The 19,410-nt window shown below is 58.5% G+C and overlaps 2 protein-coding genes and 1 long non-coding RNA gene across 41 annotated transcripts in view; 1 reads left to right on the top strand and 2 right to left on the bottom strand.

Moving 5' to 3' along the window:
• Positions 1–5,970, top strand: part of BEGAIN (brain enriched guanylate kinase associated) — a 50,271-nt gene extending 44,301 nt beyond the window's left edge. For 18 of the 30 annotated variants that reach the window (NM_001385101.1, NM_001385102.1, NM_001385089.1 and 15 more), the window contains 2 exons: positions 2,538–2,621; positions 3,802–5,970. In NM_001385101.1, the coding sequence (NP_001372030.1) occupies positions 2,538–2,621; positions 3,802–5,148 (1,431 nt within the window). In that variant the 3' untranslated portion in view covers positions 5,149–5,970. The remainder of the gene's footprint in view (positions 1–2,537; positions 2,622–3,801) is intronic. The other 12 variants (NM_001385093.1, XM_024449671.2, NM_001385096.1 and 9 more) reach the window with 3 other exon arrangements.
• Positions 174–5,145, bottom strand: LOC124903382 (uncharacterized). 4 transcript variants are annotated; one of them, XR_007064333.1, is made up of 3 exons: positions 3,906–5,145; positions 3,498–3,696; positions 174–2,987 (listed from the first exon to the last, which is right to left on the bottom strand). It is a non-coding gene; the product is annotated as an uncharacterized LOC124903382 (long non-coding RNA). The 4 variants fall into 4 exon arrangements; XR_007064335.1 differs by lacking the exon at positions 3,906–5,145 and having other exon boundaries at positions 174–414; positions 1,042–2,987; positions 3,498–3,806; XR_007064334.1 differs by lacking the exon at positions 3,498–3,696.
• WDR25 (WD repeat domain 25) overlaps positions 12,814–19,410 on the bottom strand; it is a 153,819-nt gene continuing 147,222 nt past the window's right edge. For all 7 annotated transcript variants that reach the window (NM_001350947.2, NM_024515.6, NM_001350948.2 and 4 more), the window contains 3 exons: positions 17,077–17,247; positions 13,909–14,049; positions 12,814–13,297 (listed from right to left, as the gene is read on the bottom strand). In NM_001350947.2, the coding sequence (NP_001337876.1) occupies positions 13,076–13,297; positions 13,909–14,049; positions 17,077–17,247 (534 nt within the window). In that variant the 3' untranslated portion in view covers positions 12,814–13,075. The remainder of the gene's footprint in view (positions 13,298–13,908; positions 14,050–17,076; positions 17,248–19,410) is intronic.

Here is a 19,410-nt window from a genome sequence, read left to right as displayed (position 1 = left end):
GTGAAGGAGCCAGCCATGCAGACATCCGTGGGAGAAGCATTGCTTCCAGGCAGAAGCAACCGTGGTGTGCAGCTGTACCTGGTTAACTCGGAGGATCCCAAAGGGGCCAAGGAGCGCCCAGCGGGAGGGGGAGCCAGGGTCTGAGGTCAGAAAGACCATAGGAGGCAATGTTGTAGAGGCTCCTCCCAGAAACCTGGGCTTTATTCTGAGTGCAGTGGGGAGCCATGGAGGGTTCTGAAAACAGAGGAGCAACGTGATTGCACGTGCAGCTTCCCAGGGCTCACGTGGCTGCCATGCTGGAAACAGGCTGTAGGGACGAGGACAGGAGCAGGAAGATCAGGAGGAGGCCAGGACCATAGTCCAAAAGATGATGGTGGCTCAGATGACGGTGGAACTGGGCAGAGGGCTGGGATTCTGGTTGTGTTTTGAAAATAGAATCAACAGGACTAACCAAGATTTAGGATGTGGGTTGTTAGAAGAAGAGCTGAGTCCAACCCAGCTACAGGATTCAGAGCCCAAACAAAAGGAGTTGCCTGCCATTTCCTGGCTGGGGACAGCTGGGGAGGGACAGGAGCTGGGTGGGAGATGCACAGGACCCCTTGGAGCGGAGATGTCACCAGGGCAGCAGGAGGCCCGGGTCTGGAGTTGAGCGTGAAGGCCGGCATGCCGGCGGAGACTGCCCAGGCAGCATGCAGATGAGAAGCAGGGAGGCCCCAGGACGGAGTAGGGACCAGCAAGGATGCCTGGGAGGGAGTGGCCAGTAGGCTGGGGGACACCAGGCGAGTATGGTGGCCCAACAACCACTTGAGAAGGGGGCTGCAGTCAATGCCCTGGCCGGCTGGCTTGCCAGCTGCTGAGAGACCAGGTCAGAGGGCCAAGGAGAGGCATTGGGATTTGGGGAACTGGAGGTCGGTGGTGGAGTGGAGCGGTGGTTCCAGACACAGGCCACCCTTCTAAGGAGTGTGGCTCTAACAGGAGGACAGGAGGACATGGGCTCGGGACAGGAGGTGCTTCTTAACGTGACAAGGCCAGGCCCCTTACCTAAGTGGACACTAGTCCTGGGGCCCTCTCTGCAGGGTTGGTGCACATGAGGAAACTAAGGCATGGCCAGCTTGAGTGGTTTCCCAGGTGACCCAGGTGGTGTCTCGCAGACGGAGCCAGAACTCAACCTCGGGACTCCGACTCCAGCAGCCCCGGGCCCTGGGTGGCCAGAGTGCTTGCCTCCACCTGTTCGCTCTGCCAGAGTGTCCCGTGAGCATTTCCTCCCCGAGCCAGCAGCTGCGGCTGCTCAGGAAAGGCTCCCAGCTGTCCCAGAGCTGGCCACCTCAGACATGGACAGCCCAGGGGCTTGGGTACTCAGCCAGGTGCCCCAGGGGCTATGGGCATGGCACCGGCTTCCCAGTGGCAGCCACTCCTGGCTGTGGCTGGTGGGGCTCAGTGGCAGACCTGGGCTGGCTGGGCAGTGCCTGCAGCCCTCTGGTGCCAGGGGCAGCCGGTCGACTGGGGTCATACAAGGGGTCAGTTCTCAGCTCTCAGGCAGCCGTGCTGTTCTGTTCCTAGGAGGCCCAGGGAGGCACTGAGAGGGGTTTGGCGACTCCGACGCCCTCCACCGTGTAGGCCAAGTTGGGGGCACCAGCCTTCAGTGAGGGAGGCTCCAGGGCCGTGGTGGGGGGACAGAAAGGTGCCTGTGTCAGAGACAGCCTTGCCTGGACAGCAGGATGCCTGGTGCTGGCTGGGTTGGGACTGTGGCCAGCCCTTGCCAGGAGCAGCCATGGGGCAGCTCAGGTGGGTCACTGGGCCTCCGGGCCACCCCAGGGCTAGCTGTCAGAGCCCTCGCAGTGGGGACCCCGGAGGGGCGGGAATGCAAGCCCCAAACACAGGCACATGCAACAGAGATTTTCAGTGGCGAAGCCACACCCCTTGAGTCCTACTGTTTGCATCTGTTTTCAGCTCAGGAGGCTGAGCCAGCGCCCGCCTGGGCCTGAGGTCACACACCTGCCCAGTCCCTGCCCAGCCCTGCAGCCACACTGTTTCCAAACCACACTCTGGGAAGAGGGTTGTGAGCAGCAAGTCTGAAGTGCGGGGTGGAAGGTGCTGGGGGTTCATCCTGCCTCCCATTCCTGCCTGGCACTCCCACCCCGTCATCTTTGGAAGGACGCCGAGAGCCTGAGGGACAGGGACAGGGAGACCAGGCCTGCTCTACGAGCCTGGGGGAGCTCAGGGCCATTGGGGCTCCTTCTTCTACCACTGCCCCCCACCTTGTGGGAGGTTCCCATCTTGGCAGTGCTCAAGGGCACCAGCTAGGGCAGCGGCAGGGCCCTCCATGCTCCGGCAGCCCCAGGTCAGAAAGAGGCTCTCATTTTGCAGGCAAGAGTGTGGAGGCCAGAGAGGGCCGGAGCCAGCAGTGGGTCCTTGTCCTGCTGAGCGCACAGCAGGCCCTGTGCACACCACTGCCCCCGCTGGCCACTTGGCGCTGGTCAGGGCGGCGGGGCCTTGGCTGGGGTGAATGGCGCCAAACGCCTTCTCTTGTCTTTTAGGAGCTCTATAGGAAGGACTGCAATCTAGCGGCCCAGCTGCTGCAGTGCAGCCAGACCTACGGCAGGGTCCACAAGGTGTCTGAGGTAACGTGGCCCCGCAGCCAGGCCCACCCCGCCCCGGGACCACCGGGCTCCTTTTGTGCCAGTGCTACCCCAAAGCCATTTCCCATCTTTGAGGAGGAAGATGCCAGCTGAGCCTGAGCCTCCTCTGTCCCCCTCGCTCCTGTGGGGTCATGACATTGGAGGGGCCGCCAAAGGCACCCCACCTCACGCAGCCGGGCAGCCCCTGGCCCTCACCAGAGTCCCTTTGGCCCACCCCGGCTGCTGGTTGCCCTCGGTTTCCTTTGGGGGGCTGCTCCAGGTCCTTGCTTCCACTGAGCGCTGACACGGCAGAGTGACCTTTGTGGAGCTTCGCAGGAGCCTGTGGCTGGGCACGATGACCGGCAGTGCCTATTTCAGAAAGAAAACATTCAGGAAAGAGGGCGTGGCTGAGGCCACGTGGCAGGCAGGTAGCAGAGCCAGGACCCAGAACCAGGCCTGTCTGATGCCAAGGGCAGATGGGCCAGAGGCCCACCCCTGCCCGCCTATGGTCGCCGCACCCTGCGCACCCCGTCCCCCGACCCTCCCCTCACATGCAATCTCCCAGCCAGGCCTGTGCGTTCCTTTCCCCTGGTCCTGGGCCATGCCTGAGACACTCACAAAATAGATCAAACAGTAGCGGGACACCCCCACATGGCACCAGGCGCTCTCAGCCCTGGCCCTCAATCTTTGTTGCATCTGAGTCTGTCTTCTTCAGGAGCGCTCCAGCAGCATGACTGGGGGGCTGGGGAGTGGGTCATGCCCCCAGTAGAACCCACAGAACCCACGGGCCTGGGAGAGCAAGTCAACCCCTCGCTGGGCACAAAATGGGTGGGGTGGGGGTGGCGGGGGGTGGAGCCTTGAGTGGGGCCTGAATCAGACCTGGGTTCCGGCTTCTCCAGGCGACTGCAGCTTCTGGGCTCTCCTGGGCCCAATCAGAGTGGGGTGGGGAGAGGTGACCCAGGATCCCCAGGCAGTCACAGCACCCACACCCCTGGGAGCTTGTTCAGTACAGCGTCCTGGATCCAGGCTCCCCCTGGTGTGATTTGAGAAGCCGGGAGGCCCCCGTTCGTCTGTCTGCCTGTCGGTCATGGCTAACATCAGTCCTCAGCTTCAGGGCCAGGGCTGGGCTGCCATGCTAACAGTGACCCTGTACCCGCCGTCCCCCTCCTCGCACCCGTTCCAGCTGCCCTCGGATTTCCAGGAGCGCGTGAGCCTGCACATGGAGAAGCACGGCTGCAGCCTGCCATCCCCGCTCTGCCACCCGGCCTACGCCGACAGCGTCCCCACCTGCGTCATTGCCAAGGTGCTGGAGAAGCCGGACCCCGCCAGCCTGTCCTCCCGCCTGTCCGATGCCTCCGCCCGCGACCTGGCCTTCTGCGACGGGGTGGAGAAACCAGGCCCGCGGCCCCCCTACAAGGGAGACATCTACTGCAGTGACACAGCCCTCTACTGCCCGGAGGAGCGGCGGCGAGACCGGCGGCCTAGCGTGGACGCGCCCGTGACCGACGTGGGCTTCCTGCGGGCCCAGAACTCCACTGACAGCGCGGCCGAGGAGGAGGAGGAGGCCGAGGCGGCGGCCTTCCCGGCGGGCTTCCAGCATGAGGCCTTCCCCAGCTACGCAGGCTCACTGCCCACGTCCAGCTCCTACTCCAGCTTCAGCGCCACGTCGGAGGAGAAGGAGCACGCGCAGGCCAGCACGCTGACCGCGTCGCAGCAGGCCATCTACCTGAACAGCCGCGACGAGCTCTTCGACCGCAAGCCACCCGCCACCACCTACGAGGGCAGCCCTCGCTTTGCCAAGGCCACGGCCGCGGTGGCGGCCCCGCTGGAGGCCGAAGTGGCCCCAGGCTTCGGGCGGACCATGTCACCGTACCCGGCCGAGACCTTCCGCTTCCCGGCCTCTCCGGGTCCCCAGCAGGCCCTGATGCCCCCAAACCTGTGGAGCCTGCGGGCCAAGCCGGGGACCGCCCGGCTCCCCGGGGAGGACATGAGGGGCCAGTGGCGTCCCCTGAGCGTGGAGGACATCGGCGCCTACTCCTACCCCGTGAGCGCTGCCGGCCGCGCCTCACCCTGCAGCTTCTCTGAACGCTACTACGGCGGGGCCGGGGGCAGCCCGGGCAAGAAGGCCGACGGCCGCGCCAGCCCGCTCTACGCCAGCTACAAGGCCGACAGCTTCTCCGAGGGGGACGACCTCTCCCAGGGCCACCTGGCAGAGCCCTGCTTCCTGCGGGCGGGCGGCGACCTGAGCCTCAGTCCCGGCCGCTCGGCTGACCCACTGCCCGGCTATGCACCCAGCGAGGGGGGGGACGGGGACAGGCTCGGGGTGCAGCTGTGTGGGACCGCCAGCAGCCCTGAGCCCGAGCAGGGTTCCAGGGACTCCTTGGAGCCGAGCTCCATGGAGGCCTCCCCGGAAATGCATCCTGCCGCCCGCCTCAGCCCCCAGCAGGCCTTTCCGCGGACTGGTGGCTCGGGGCTGAGCCGCAAGGACAGCCTCACCAAGGCCCAGCTCTACGGAACCTTGCTCAACTGAGCGCCTGCGTGCAGGCCTGGCCGTGGTTCGCTCCCCGCCAGCCCACGTGCCCCAGAAGGGCCGGCCTCACCTCTCCCCAGCCCCCGCTGTTCCCCTGCCCCGGCCAACAACGAGGAGTCTGTTCCTCCCCGCACCTCCTCTCCTCCCCAGCCCTGTAGGCCTGAGGGGAGGGTCCCCCACACCACGGTGTCCACCCGGCCCCGGCCCGTGGAACTCCACTTAGAGCGTTTTTCACGCGTCCTTCCCCCATGTGAGAGGAGCATCCCCCCTTTTATAAAGCGAAACTATTTTTATAGAGAAAAAGGGTCTTTCTTAACGCACTTGGCCTCCAGCTCCCTGGACGGCTGCCTTGGCGTTTTCAACACAAAGCTCCTTTATTTTTTGGGCGAGGGTGCGTGGGGCCTGCCCCTTGGAAGGGAAGGGAAGGACGGTGTCCTGTGGAGACCAGACTCTGCAAGTGGGGAGACCACCCCCGCAAGCCAGTGACAAGGGAGCCCTGAAGTTGTGTCCACGAAGAGGGAGCTGAAACAAATTCGGGGCTATGAAGTGTTTTAAAAATCCATTCTTCGCAGTGTGGCCACCACACCGCCCTGAGCCCTCCCACGGCCCATCGTCCCGGGTGGGCCGGGATGATGCCCCAGTGCGGCCGGTGCTCATCTCCGCCCCCGGGTCCGCCCCCTGACACCGTCTTACTCTACCTCAGACATGAGGAGGCCCTCCATTCCTGGTTTCTGTAGCTTGCATTCTTGTTGTCTCTGATGCATGCCCTGCCAGTTAGTACTGTATTTTGCATTCATTAATAAAAGACACCGGTGGAAAGAATCTGGGTTGGGCTGTTTCTCCTCCTCCTGCCTTTTGGTCTCGGGAACCTGGGGTCCCTGGTGTCCCTCCCCAGCCTTGCTCTCTGCAGCCGAGTTGGGCCCCTTAACCCCACTTCACACCCCATCCCCATAACACCCCGTCCCCACCCCGCCATCCAAGTTCCTATCTAGGGTGTGGATTCTCCTGCTTCTCCCAACCCACTGGAGACAACAGCTCTTTCATCCCATTCTCCTGCGCGCTGCCCCACCGATTTCCTGGCCCCTAATCCTCGTGTCTCAGACTTGGCTTCTGCTCCTTGAGATGTACTGGGGCCACGGATGGAATGTCGGCAGGTGGCCTTTTCCCGGGCACACGGGATGCTGCCGCTCTGCTCTGTCTTCCTGTTGGTATTGGGAACTGGCTGTCAGTCCCGGAGCCGCTCCATTGGTTAGAAAAAAAAAATTGCTTTCTTTTCCCCGGCTCTTTAAGATTTTCTCTTTGACTTTGGCTTTCTGCAGTTTCCCTGAGGTGTGTCTGGGTGTGGAGTTCCTTCTTAGGAATCCTTCTGAGGATCCTCAGGGAGTCACATCTGTGGATTGGTGGACTTCATCAGTTCTGAAAAATTCTCAACTATTATTTTTTTAAAAACATTTCTCTGCCCATTCTCTCTGTTTTCTCCCTCCGGGTTTGTTTCCCAGACCTGTGCTACCTCAGGCCTGCAGTGGCCCTGTCACCCCCCACCATGCCCTGTGCCACTCCAGGCCTGCAACGGTCCCTGTCACCCCTCCCCACACCCTGTGCCATCCCAGGCCTGCAGCGGGCCCTGCCGCCCCTCCCCACACCCTCCGTGGTTGCTGCGCTCTCCCTGCTACACTGCACATCATCTGTCTTCCAACTCACTAATTCCCTCCTATGTCTATTCAGCCGCCACACACAGCCGCTGAGGTTTTCATTTCAGTTATTCATGTTTTTCATTTCTGGAGGTTCTACTTGGTTGTTTTACAAATCCACAGTGCCACTTTCTTAGCTTCCCATTCCCTGGAGATATTTTCCAGCTCATCTCTTATTTCTATCAAAACAGTGGGCACAACCATTTCACAAGCTGGTCTGGGACCGGACCATGTGGTCTGTGCAGGCCTCCTCGTGGTTCCCGCTCCGGCGGCCCTGTTTCTCTGGACGCCTGCTCATCTTGGACACATGCTCATCCCTGCCCTTGAAGAGGTGCATGTGTGGGTTCAAGGCTGAGGATGGAGGCCCCTCCCTAAGAGGGCCTTTATAGCTGTCCCTGTAGGTGCCTGGGGCATGTCCCAGTGGGGAGCACCTCACCCAGGTTCGTGTCTGGAGGTTCCCTGGCACGCCTGGCTTTGTGTGTAGCTCTAGCGTGGCTCTGCCTATGGTCAGACCACTCCAAGGAGAGTGGGCATCAGCCGTGGCTCCCTGCATCCCTGCCCTCCCCCTTCCTCTGCAGAAGAAGCCAGAGCCAGCCAGGCTGTGTCTTCTCCAGCCATAGCTGCCGTCCCAGGAAGCAGCCTCCCTGAGCCGGGGGAAGCTTGGAGAGGTTTGGGATTCTGTTCTCCTCTCTGGGGCCTGTGGGCAGAACAGGGGCTACAGCCCTCACTGAGCTGGGGGCAGCCAAGAGGGTGGGAGAGAGAAATAACTGGCACCCGGTGGGCAGAGGCATTCCCAGAGGGGAACCCAAGCTTCAGCTACCCCAGTGTCAACTGTGAGATTTCTGTCACCCAGACGTGGGAAAGCTGAGGCCAAAAAGAGGGGCGCCCTGGCTCTGCCACTTCTAGGTGACAAAGGCCCCACCCAGGTCTCACTCCTGGGGGCTACTGAATCAGACATACCTGCCCTGGGCGGCAGCCTTGGCCCAGATCTGGGGGGGCCAGACCCAGGGTGTTGGCCCCAAATTGCCACCTCAGAGCCTGCGGCCCCCAAGATGGCCTCCACACCTCACAGGGCTCTCCTGCCTGGGCTGCAATGCCTGCCACAGCCGGGCCTCCAAGGTGTCTTGTTCCCGGAGCAGCCAGGACCATTAGGTCCCTGCCTAGGACTGGGTAGGGACGGTGACTTTGGCTGCAGAGCCAGGCAGCCTTCAGGCGCAGGAGAGAAGAGGAAGGAGAGGGTCCACATGGCTTGCAGCGGCAGGGTCAGGCTGACACCCCCGGGGTGGGGGCCTGCCTGCTGTGCACGGCAGTCAGGACACTGCTCCTTGTGGTGCTGAGGCTGGGGAACCTTGGTTCACTATCCCCAATTCTCATGGCTCAAAGCTGGCTCAGCAGGGCCCTGAGACTTAGGAGCACCTGTGGCTCTGACCAGTGACTCTTCTCTCGCGGGATCCCTTGGGCTGGGTCTCGGTGCCCCCCTCCTTTCCCTGGTGCTGTTGTCAGCTGGCAGCCTCATGCTGGCCTCGGGGACCTGGCCCTGCCCACAAGGAACTCAGAGGTGGGGGAGGAAGGCAGACAGTGTAACACTCAGCTCAGGGCTTCCAGAACACAGGGCCTGTGGGCCTCTCAGAGGGGAGGGCCCTCACTGCTCCAGGAGGACGAATGAAAGGGGTCAGAGGAGAGGATCACAATGGGTGTTGAAGGATGAATAGGAGTTCAACAGGTATTTTAGGCAAATGGAACACAGCCATGAAAAGGCACAGATCTGTGACAGCTGGAGAGTTCTAGAAACTGTTCAGTGCTCCTGTGGGGCTCCCAAGGGGCTGAGCTCTGGAGCTGGCAGTTTCCCTCTGGATCTGCCCTTCGACCTTCTGCACTTGGACTGTCCCCACAGCTGAACGGGAAGTCCTGGACAGTCCCCATCTACCCAGGCAGCCGGCCTTGGCACAGGGTTCCCTGCTCCACCCCTGCCCTCTCCCTGCACTGAGATCCTGCCTTGCCGTCAGGGAGGCCCTGTCTGCACATCCGCCACCCGCCCACACATCCATGTATGTTTCTCCTCAGCTCTCGGCAGGGCAGCGCAGGGTTGGGCTCTGCCACCAGTTGACAGTGTCACCTTGGGCAAGACCCAGGCCCCCTGGCCAGCTTCCCTTGCTGGAGCCTGAGGACATTCATCAATGCAATTTCCAGGGACCCTCTAGGCAGCTGGGTCTCCCACTGTACAGACAGCCAAAGTGAGGTGGAGGTGGCGCCTACGGGAGGCCATTTGGGAAGGGATCCCAGGTGCAAAAAGAGCTCAGGCTTGGGGTCAGAGGGCCTTGGGCATGGCTCCCTGCCCTCAGGGCAGCAGTTTCCTCTGCTGGACAGTGGGGATCATGGACACCCTGTCAGAAGCTGCGAGCATCAGCTGCACTCAGAAAAAAGCCACGGCCACGCCCGGCACACAGCACTGCAGCCAGCACACACAGCCTGCACAGCATCTGGAGGTGAAGCCGTTTTTCTCCACGATGGCTTCGGATCTGGCATCCCAGATTTTCTAGGAGAGGATGAAGGTGAACACTCAGCCCCAGGAAGGTGGGTGGAGGGAAGAGACCATACTCCTTTTTCATTCCTGCTCCACATTTTCTAAATTTAGCTTTCTTATTTTAAAACTGCAAACGGTGAACTCCCTGACACCTTGCCAAGGATCAAAGTCAGTCTTTAAGAATGTTCTTTGGAAGAAAGTGTTTGGAAAAAGAAATAGATAAAAGCATGGTGCACACCTGCCATTCTTCCCAATAAAATGACCTAAAAAGGGAAGGGGCTGCCAGCCAGCTGGCTCCCACAGGCGCCTGTGTTGAGAAATCAAACCCACAGAGGGTGGAGCTAAGTAACCGCCACAGTGGGTTTTCTGTGGAGCCCTGGGTGGCCCCCCCGCCCCAGAAGGGTCAGAGCTTTGGGTTGGTTCAAGGCCACCAACTTGAAAATAAATGGACTTCAGGCGCACAGAAGTGGATGGCGTTTGTCCCAAGTGAAGTTGGGTGACAATCTGCAAAGTCCTTTCCTTTGCCTCGTCTCTCCTTATCCCCACAGGCCCACTTTACAGATGAGAAAACAAAGCTCAGAGAAGCAAGGCCCCTGCAAAGGCCTCAGACCAGCAGGAAATGGCCCTGGGACATGAGCTGGTCTCCTGGCTCCGAGTCCCACAGGTGGCAGGCAGTGATGTGTGCCCAGCACAGGAGTGGGGCCAGGAGCCCAGGCAGACAGGAAGCCTTTCAACAGCTATATCCCAGCCCTCAGAAGCCTGACACAGTGTCATCTGTGACTGATGGTCATGTTAAATCAGTGGTAACACGAACATATCACACGGTAGGGAACAATCAGCAAACGCTGCAATGAAATTCTCCATCACAAAATCACCATCAGGAAGGTGGAAAACCACTGGGGTTTGTACTGGGTCAGGAAGCAGAGCATCTGGACTCCAAGGTCTGGGGCTGGCAGTGAGGTGTGGGGATGGGAAAGGCAAATAAGAAACGGCCTGAGAAGCCCGGGCCTCCCTCCACCCCGACCACTGCAGCTTTCCCTCCCCCATGTGTCTGGGTTCATTCGCACAGCATCCATTCATTCCACAAACATGTGCTGAGGCCTGCTCAGGCCTGGAGCTGGGGAGACACACCCTCGTGAAAATACTTGTAGGAGGGTCCTGCACTTGGGGAGGAGATTACTTTCCCTGCTACAAATCACAGTTCCCACCACACCTGCCCAAGGAGCCTGGGTGTGGAGCATGTGTGTGACAGAAGTCAGTCAATCTGAGTTCTGGACTTGTCCAGTGGGAATGAATGAGGGCGGCAGCCCCAGCTGGTGGCTTCTGCCGTGAGATTGAACCTGGAAAAGGCCAATGCCCAGAGAGTGACAGGGACAGCAAGGGTAGGAGCAAGGCCCACCATCCCATGGCCCACTGAGGCGAGGTCTGAGAAGGGAGCCACATTCGCACTCTGCTCTAAACTGGCTCAGCTCCTGCATCAAGTGGTCAGCCTGACACTAAGTCCCAGCACCACTTCCTGAGTGCCTATGACACACGGGCCCTACCGGGAGACACACACACCCAGCCTCATGATCCCCACGAGATGGGCATTATGTGTTCTTGTTTCACAGAAGGAGAAACTGAGGAACTGGGAGCTAGGCAGCTTGCCCAAAGTCACACAGCAATGAAGGACACAGACAGGCCCACATCTGGTCACCAGGCCACGCCTGCAGTCACTTGTGGAAGGCCCACTCTGTGCCGGGGCCAGGCACCAGCAGGGAGCAGGAACCCCAGCCTGGGGCATGTGCTCCACCACAAATGCAGGTGTGGGGCATCGGTGGGGCCGGGGGATCTGTGGGGAAAGGGGGCTGAGGGTGACAGGAGCTTCCACGAAGATACTATCCAAGCAAGCCCTGAGGGAAGGAGGCTGCAGGAGGGGGATGGTGGGCGCAAAGGCCCTGAGGCACCATCAGCCTGCTGGGTGGGGGTGATGGGGTGGGCCCCAGAGGTCATAGGAGCTCCCCTGTCAGAACAGGAGGAGAAAGGGCAAAGGCCAGAGGCGTGACGAGAGGGAGGCCCCAGCAGCCACATGGGGCAGAGGGTGGGGGCTGCCCATCTCCCGCACCAGCCTCAGTACCACCACCCCCAACCGCCTTGCTCAGGCCAGTGGCAATCTTCACTTTCGACAGTGACCAAGCTCGCCGAGCACGGGGTGCAACTCTTTTCACCAAAACAGCCATTCTTGAGCCTAAAAGAAATACATAGAAGGTGCTCCCACTGTGGGTCATGAGGACCCTGCCCCCACATGGGCCAGGGGATCCCACTCACCCTGTCCTCAGGACACAGTAGGGGGACACTGGGGCCGTGCACTCAGCACCCTCAGTGCTCAACTCCAGCTTCCCCACCCACAGACAGGCACACAGTAGGTGCTGTAGACCAGATGCCTGCCATGTGTCAGGCTCTGCAGTGACTGTGGGGCAGGAAGACTCAGCCCTCAGAAGCCCCACCTTGGGGCCTTTGCACAGCTCCTCCCTCTGTCTGGGATACCCCTCCCACGGAGCCCAGGGATCCCAGTGACCCCCTGGACACACTGATACACAGGTCTTCACCCACCAGCCCCAGGCCAGCTCCAGCCCCCTCCAGGACACCCCCACAGACTTGACCTTCTCTGACCCTAGCTGTGAGCCTACAGGCTGGCTCTTCCAATGCCTGGCTTTATAGATGCAGAGATGAACCTGGGAGAGGAGTGGTGCCTTGCCTCGCCTCAGCTACAGTGACAGTGGAGCAGGGACAGAATAGTGGGGAGGGGGAGCCAAGTGCCCACCTCCTCCTGCGTCCCCCACTGCTTTGGCCCATGGGCAGCCTCCTCACATTCTCTGCCCTTCTCCACTGACTCCCCTGCCAGGGACACTGTCTTCACCAAGTTGAGGTCTGCCTCCTCCAGGAAGCCTTCCAAGGTACCAGTGGGCCCCACCCTCGCCTGTCAGCAGATCCCTGGGCTCCTGGAGTAGCCCCTCAGTTACAATTCTGGTGGGGGTTCCATCTAATCAGCCTGTACAGGCACCTGAGGAGCCAGGCCTCCTCCCAGCCCAGCTCCTCCAGGCTCCTCAAGGGTCCCTCACTTCTCCACGCGGCTCCCTCACCAGGCGGGCACACCTGCATGGGCAGCATGCACACTGGCGGGGCAAGGGCTGCCCAAGGGGCCCAAGGCTTGGGCCAACCAGGGGCCCAGCTGGCCACAGTCCTGGGGAGTGCAAGCGGCTGGGGCCTGTGAGGCTGGTGGGGCGCTGAGCTCCAACAGAATCCCTGAGGGCAGACCAAAGACCCAGACCACCCCCACTTCAGGACTCCCTTGCTGGGACCCGCAGAGCGGGGCTGACCCCATCTCAAGCTCGCACAGTTCTCTCAGTCTCCAGAGGTCCAGCAGGCCTGGGAGGAGGGAGGCGAGAAGAAGCTGCTAATGCACACTTGTTGCTGAAATCACTTAACAAACAGCAAAACACACATTTATTGGGCATCGCCGGCTGCCCGCCAGGCGCTTTCACTAGTGTAGTCCTCACACTCCTGAGGCAAACAGACTTTTCTCCCCACTTTACAGATGAGGAAACTGAGGCTCAGAAGGTGGTACCCAGGACCCACAGCCAACCTCTGTGCTCGTTCCTCTCATCTACCCTTGAGGAAGAGGGGAGTCCAAGAGCCCAGCTGGCATCGGGAAGGTTCAGTGACAAAAAGCTCAGTGCCAGATCTTCATGTCCCCTCCCCAGGAGCAGGTGGCGAGGACGGAGGGCAGCACGGGGTGATAGGTGGTGCCGACACAGGCCTGTGTGTGCCCCTGCAGTGTGCATGCTCGGCTGGCTGTGCGGAAGCTGTACATCAGGACCCGGCCATCGGCGCTGCCCGTCACCAGCAAGTCACCGCCTGGGGAGCACTCGCAGCCCACTGAGTAGCCCTCCACCTGCAGAGAGGGACACAGTGGGTGAGCAAGCCGCACCTGTCAAGCCGGGGTGAGTATGCCCATTCTACAGAGGAGCAGGCTGAAGCCCCGAGCTGACGGAGCAGAGCTGGGCTTCGCACCTCGTGTCCCTGAGGCCAAAGCCCAGGTCCCGCCCATGAGGCTGTAGAGCCCTGATGCGGGCCCACATCCCAAGGCCAGTTCAGCAGATCCAGCGGGACCAGCTCCAGCCCAGCTGAGGGGTCTGGCCTCAGTGACAGTCACTAAGCACCCAGCCCCTTCCACCCCAGCAAGGCTTGGCCTCAGTGAGGAAAGGGAAGGATGCAGAAATGACACCCATGACCATTTTGTCCTGTTCCTGCCCCCCACTTCTGAGACCTGTCTGTGTGAGCCAACTACTGCTTCCTGCCCAGTACGTGGGGCCTGGGGTGAGGACCAGATGTGGTTCAGGGACTTGAAGAGACAGTGAGCCACATGGCATGCGCTCACCCAGGAAACAGAAAGCAGGATCCACCCAGACAGAGGCTCCATGCACCCCAGGGCCCATGTCCAGGACTGCCAGGAGGCTTGGGGCTGGGGCTCAGCATTCGCCTGGGGGACAAGGACAGAAGTACCTTGTGCCCTTCATAGCGCCGCCGTCTGCTCATCCGGTAGGGCCACACAGTGGAGAAAAGGGCCAGGTAGTTGCCATTGGTCTGTGCCAGGAACACGGGCTCTCTCGGGTGCAAGGCGAGGCTGGGGCAGGTGAACCTCTCCTGAGAACAGCAGAGCCACAAATGGGTCAGAGAAGACACCCCCAACCTGGCACTCTGCTCTGGGGCCTGGGGCCTGCTCCCAGACCCTAGCTGGGTGTCTCCATTGGTTTCCTATCACTGCTGTGACAAATCACCACAAGCTTGGTGGCTCAAGACACACACATTTCACATCACACAGTCCTGCGAGTCGGAAGTCTGAAAAAGGCCTCGCTGGGCTGAAGTCAAGATGTTGGCGGAGCCGCACTTCTTTCTGGAGGCTGGAGGGGAATCCAGTTTCCTCCATGTTTCCCAGCTTCTACAACCTGCCTGTGTCCCTGTGGCAGGCAGGAAAATGCCCCCCAAAATATACCCATGTTCTAATTCCTGAAACCTGTGAATGTTACCTTACAGGGTCAAAACCAAGGGTCTCTGCAGACATAACTAAGGATTCTGAGATAAGGAGATGATCCTATATTACACTAAATGCAGTCACGTGCAGCCTCATAGAAAGAAAGCCAAGGCTGGGTGTGGTGGCTCACGCCTGTATCCCAGCACTCTGGGATGCTGAGGCGGGCGGATCTCTTGAGCCCAGGAGTTCGAGACCAGCCTGGGCAACATGGCAAAACCCCATCTCTACAAAAAAAAAAAAAAAAGAAAGAAAGAAACAAAGGGAAGGCGCAGAGATGTGACAAACAGTGAAGGTGGTGTGAAGATGCTGGCTTGGAGGGCTGGAGAGATGCAGCCACAAGTCAGGAATGCTGGCTGTCACCAAAAGCCAGAAGAGGGCAGGAAGGATTCTCCCCTTGACACTCCAGAGGGAGCACACCCTGCCAACATCTTGATTTCAGCCCAATCATACTTAATATTGATTATGAACTTCGGGCCTCCAGAACTGTGAGGGAATAAGTTTGTGTTCTTCCAGCCACCAAGTTTGTGTAATTTATCACACAAGGATAGAAAAGGAATCTACATGCCCATCTCCCCACCTCCACAATGAGCCCTCAGGGACAGCCCAGCCCAGCCCAGGGACCCACACAGCCAAAATGCACAGTAAGTGAGGAGGTAAGTGGCCAAATGAGAAAAGAAATGCAGGCACAAACCTCAAAACACAGGGGGCGCGAGATCTCACTGCTTCATTGACAGGAAGCACCCCTAAAAACTACCCCCTCAAGCTGGCTTTACATTGTTCTAACTATTGTCCCTAGGCCACACTCTCTAAGTGAGCCCAAACTCAGAGGGCAAAGTGGGGAGCAGCAGGAAGCACAGCTTCAGGCTGATGTGGCCATCAGAGGCACAGAGGCTGCCATGGCCAGATAACAAGCTCCCAGTGTGATGGTGCCAGGCTGAGCACCTGCTCCCTCCACACAGACAGTGTGGAGTGTAACTATAGTTCAGGCGCAAGGCACCTTCATCTGCCTCACTTCCCCTGGGCTCCTGGAGGCAGGACACCCTCAGAGGCCAGACGTGCCCCTCCAGCTCCCCACAAGGGCCTGTCCTGCCCAATGGGTTGCCCTGGGACACCCTGCAGTGGAGGTCTAGAAGTGGGTTTGCTCAGAGCCACTTAGAACCCACTGAGAACAAGGAAAAGGCAGGGAGGAAAAGAAGGTGTACACAGGATAGATATTTCATGTACACCCACATATATCATATACACATGACATACAGTTTTAAATTCAGAGATTAGTCTTGGGTTAGTTGAAATCTCAAAAGATGATGCTGATGATGGCGGTGGTAGTGGTGACAATGATGACGGTAGCAGTGGTGGTGGTGGTGGTGATGATAACAATATAATAGAGATGGTGGTGGTGACAATCACGGTGGTGATGGTGGTGTGACAGAGATGACGGTGGTGATGATGGTGGTAATGGTGGTGGTGGTGCTAGACATGCTGGTGACAGTGGTGGTGATAGAGATAGTGTGGTGCTGATGGTGGGGTGGTACTGATAAGAGATGGTAGTGGTGACAGAGATGGGGTGGTGTAATGACGGCAGTGATCGTGGTGGTGATACAGTTGGTGGTAGTGACGGAGATGGTGGTGGTGATAGAGTGGTGATGGTGGTGGTGCAGCAATAAAGATGCTGGTGACAGTGAAGGTGACAGAGATGGCAGTGGTGATGATGGTGATGGTGGTGGTGATAGAGATGGTGTGGTGGTGATGACAGGAGTGGTAGTAGTGACAATGATGACAGTGGAGGTGGTGGGTATAAAGATAGTGATGCTGATGGTGGTACTGGTGATGGTGGCGGTGATGACACTGGTGGTGGTAGTGATGCTGATGGTGCTGGTGCTGGTGATGATGGTGGTGATGATAGTAGTGGTGGTAGTGACAATGACAACAGTGGTTGTGGTGGCTATAGACACAGTGATGCTGATGGTGGTACTGATGGTGACGATGATGGTGGCAGTGATGACACTGGTGGTGGTAGTGATGTTGATGGTGGTGGTGGTAATGACAGTTAAAGCACAGAAGCATTCCCCGTGCCTGACACTGTGCTATACCCTTTACAAACATTCTCTCTCTCTCTTAATTCTCAAAACTATTTTCTAATGAAGAAAGTGAGAATCAAAGAGGCTAAATAGCAGGCCCAAGGCTCTCCGCCTTATAAGGTCCTAGTGAATCCAAAACCTTAATGCAGGTGTTCTAACTGTGGGGCCCCTGCTCTGAACTCCTGGGCTACATCAACTGCCAATGCCACTGAGGGTCAGAAACCCCTTCTGAGTAGCTGGTTGTGGTGGCAGTGGGAGGGTGGGGTTTCTCAGGTTGCACTGCCACGTTCCCCATTGATCTGGACTGAACCGCCCCCCACCAGACCCTTACCCTGTGGGGTTGCTGTGCTGGCACAAGAAGAGCAGAAGGAGGTTGCATCTGGAAGCCCACAGCAAGCTCTCCATGTGTGCGGCAGGCTGAGACCTGACTACCCTCATCCTGGAGATTTCAGTCCAGTGAGCCTCCTCCCACAGAAGGGACCTGGGACCTCAGACAGACCAGAACTACATGGATACGCTCTGTGGCTGAAACTGACAGCAATGCCAAATGGGATTTCTTACGTGGAAAATCTGGTTGGAGATTTTGGCAGAGGTCCGGAAATCCCAGGCAATAATGGTGCGGTCAGCTGAGTCCCGGGTGGAAGCGTCTGTGCTGCTCAGGAACTCGGAGCCTTCCCGGAGGAACAGGATGTCCAAGGTCTGCTGGATGGTCGCCTTGTAGCTTCTCATCACCTGCAAGAGCGGACACCGGTCATGCTGGCAGGCCTGGCAGCACGGACAGGCGCCTATGCAGGGAAGGCCAAGGACCCAGGGGGCAGGCAGGTTTAGTGAAGTTTATGCTGGGCCACACACACCCAGGCTGAGCAGCACCCACAAGCCATATATGGAATCATGGACCCTCCTGCCCCATGCCCAGTCCAGTGTCTGTCAGCTTCTCAGCCCCCCTGCTCTATTGCCACATGGGTCCAGAGAGGCATCCCTATCACCCCTTGAGAGCAGCAGGATCCCAGGGAAAGCGCAAAGGGAAGGGCCTTGACTCGCCAAGGGCACCTCGAGAGCATATTGACATCCATCAACACTGGGGTCATGCTTTGAGTGGGTCCTGCTTCTGAAGACGTCACATAATTCACAGCTTGCAAAGTCCCAGATTGTTGTCCCAGAGGAGCCACAGTAATGCAGGAGCAAGTGTGCTTGGGGACAGACCATAAAGCCAGAATCACAGGACATATTTTAGCTTTAACGACACTTTGTATTGTTTTAGCATCATCACCGATACTTCACAGTCTGCTGTCTCATAAACTGACTTTATTAAGTATTGAGCAGTTGTTTTGCTTTCTTAGAGGATTTTATCACATTCAGCTTCTGCTCTCAAGTATCCAGCTCTGGTGAGGGGATGGAGAAGGGTCCCAGTACCAGGACCAGCAAGTAGCTCCACTTAACAAACTCACAGAGGACAGGACTTTAATGACAATATGGAAATAACATGCTGGGCACCCACGCGCAGCCATGGAAGCGCAGCAAGGTCTCAAGTTGGTCGCAGGGGCCGGCCGGTCCCTTTACCAGTTCCTGGGCCGCCACCATGTGGCTGCAGCATAAACAGTTCAGTCCCTGGGCCCCGCCAGCTCAAAATGAGCCACCTTGACTTTTTAATTGGAGTTCATACCTTTCAAATTTTGCAGACATATTTTCTGTCATCCTCCTTAAAATGTATACATCAAATTCACATTAAATGTGTCACTCCATAATTTCAGTTTAGGTTAGAGGAGGAGGAGGTTGAGGCCCATTCTCTGGATGAGGTTCACTGAGGCCCAGGAAGAGGTACGGATTTGCTCAAGGTCACAGGGCCAGGGCATGGTGGAGCCTCTTCCGACCTCCACGGCTTCCCTGGGACCCACGGTTCATTCTCCTGCTGGTCAATTCCTGCCTCTGTAATTCCTGGGGGAGGGTAGGCAACAGATGACCGCTCTTCTCTGAGCCTCTTCCAAAGCAACCCTCAACCAGGGAGATTTCAGAGTGGGCCCCCTGAAGCCTAAAGAATGATCCAGGGGTGGAAAAAAAAAGCCTTCTGAATGCAGAACAGGGAGACAAGCTGCCCCTCACGGCACGGCTGCCTGCCTTCCTCCACGCACTGGATTCTGCATGCCTGTGCCTGCTCTATCCTCCCACATGGCCTTGATATCACAGCCCCCACCAGCCTCAACACTTTGATCCCTAAGAGGCTGACCCAGGGAAAGGATGAGGAAGATGACGGCCCTCCCTGCCACTCGCTGAGTGCCCGTTAGGTGCTGGGCCTTGGCTGGGGGGTTCACATAAGTTATCTCATGACAAGAGCCCCATAGGTAGCTTCTCTCGGTGGGCATGAAGTCTCAGAGACAGGCAACTTGCCCAGGAGCCAAGAACTACCTACATGCCCCTGCCAACACACCACCTGCCTCCCAAGACAAACTTTTTGAGGAGAACCAAAACAGTTGTTCCGTACATTTTCTGAGAATGGATGGAAATGGCCCAATTCATTAGGGTGTCATAAAAGTGAATGGCTGGGAAACAAGCCGTGTTATGGGCGATCCCTGCCAATAATGTGGCTGCAAGTGGAAGGCTGGCCTTTGAAGTGATCGCCACCGAACATGATTTACTCGCCTTCACAACTGCTCATGCCCCAGGAAAGAGCAAAGGAGCCATTTGTGTGTCTAGCTGGTGGGTTTTATGGCAACCTTAATTACACCAACAGCTGGCATGGGACGCTGCTACCCGAGCCTAACGAGCTGGATCCAAAAGGGAGTCTCACTCAGACTCTTCTGGCAACTGCGGGCCCCTGGTAGAGATGCAGGGACATGGTCTTGGGGAAAGCAGAAGATCGATCATGACACATGCAGGGGTTATGTCCCTACAATCTGC

Source organism: Homo sapiens, chromosome 14, assembly GCF_000001405.40.
Source record: "Homo sapiens chromosome 14, GRCh38.p14 Primary Assembly".
In the NCBI taxonomy this organism is placed as follows: domain Eukaryota; kingdom Metazoa; phylum Chordata; class Mammalia; order Primates; family Hominidae; genus Homo; species Homo sapiens.
Note: the sequence above shows the minus strand (reverse complement) of the source record. Positions and strands in the feature narration are given on the sequence as shown.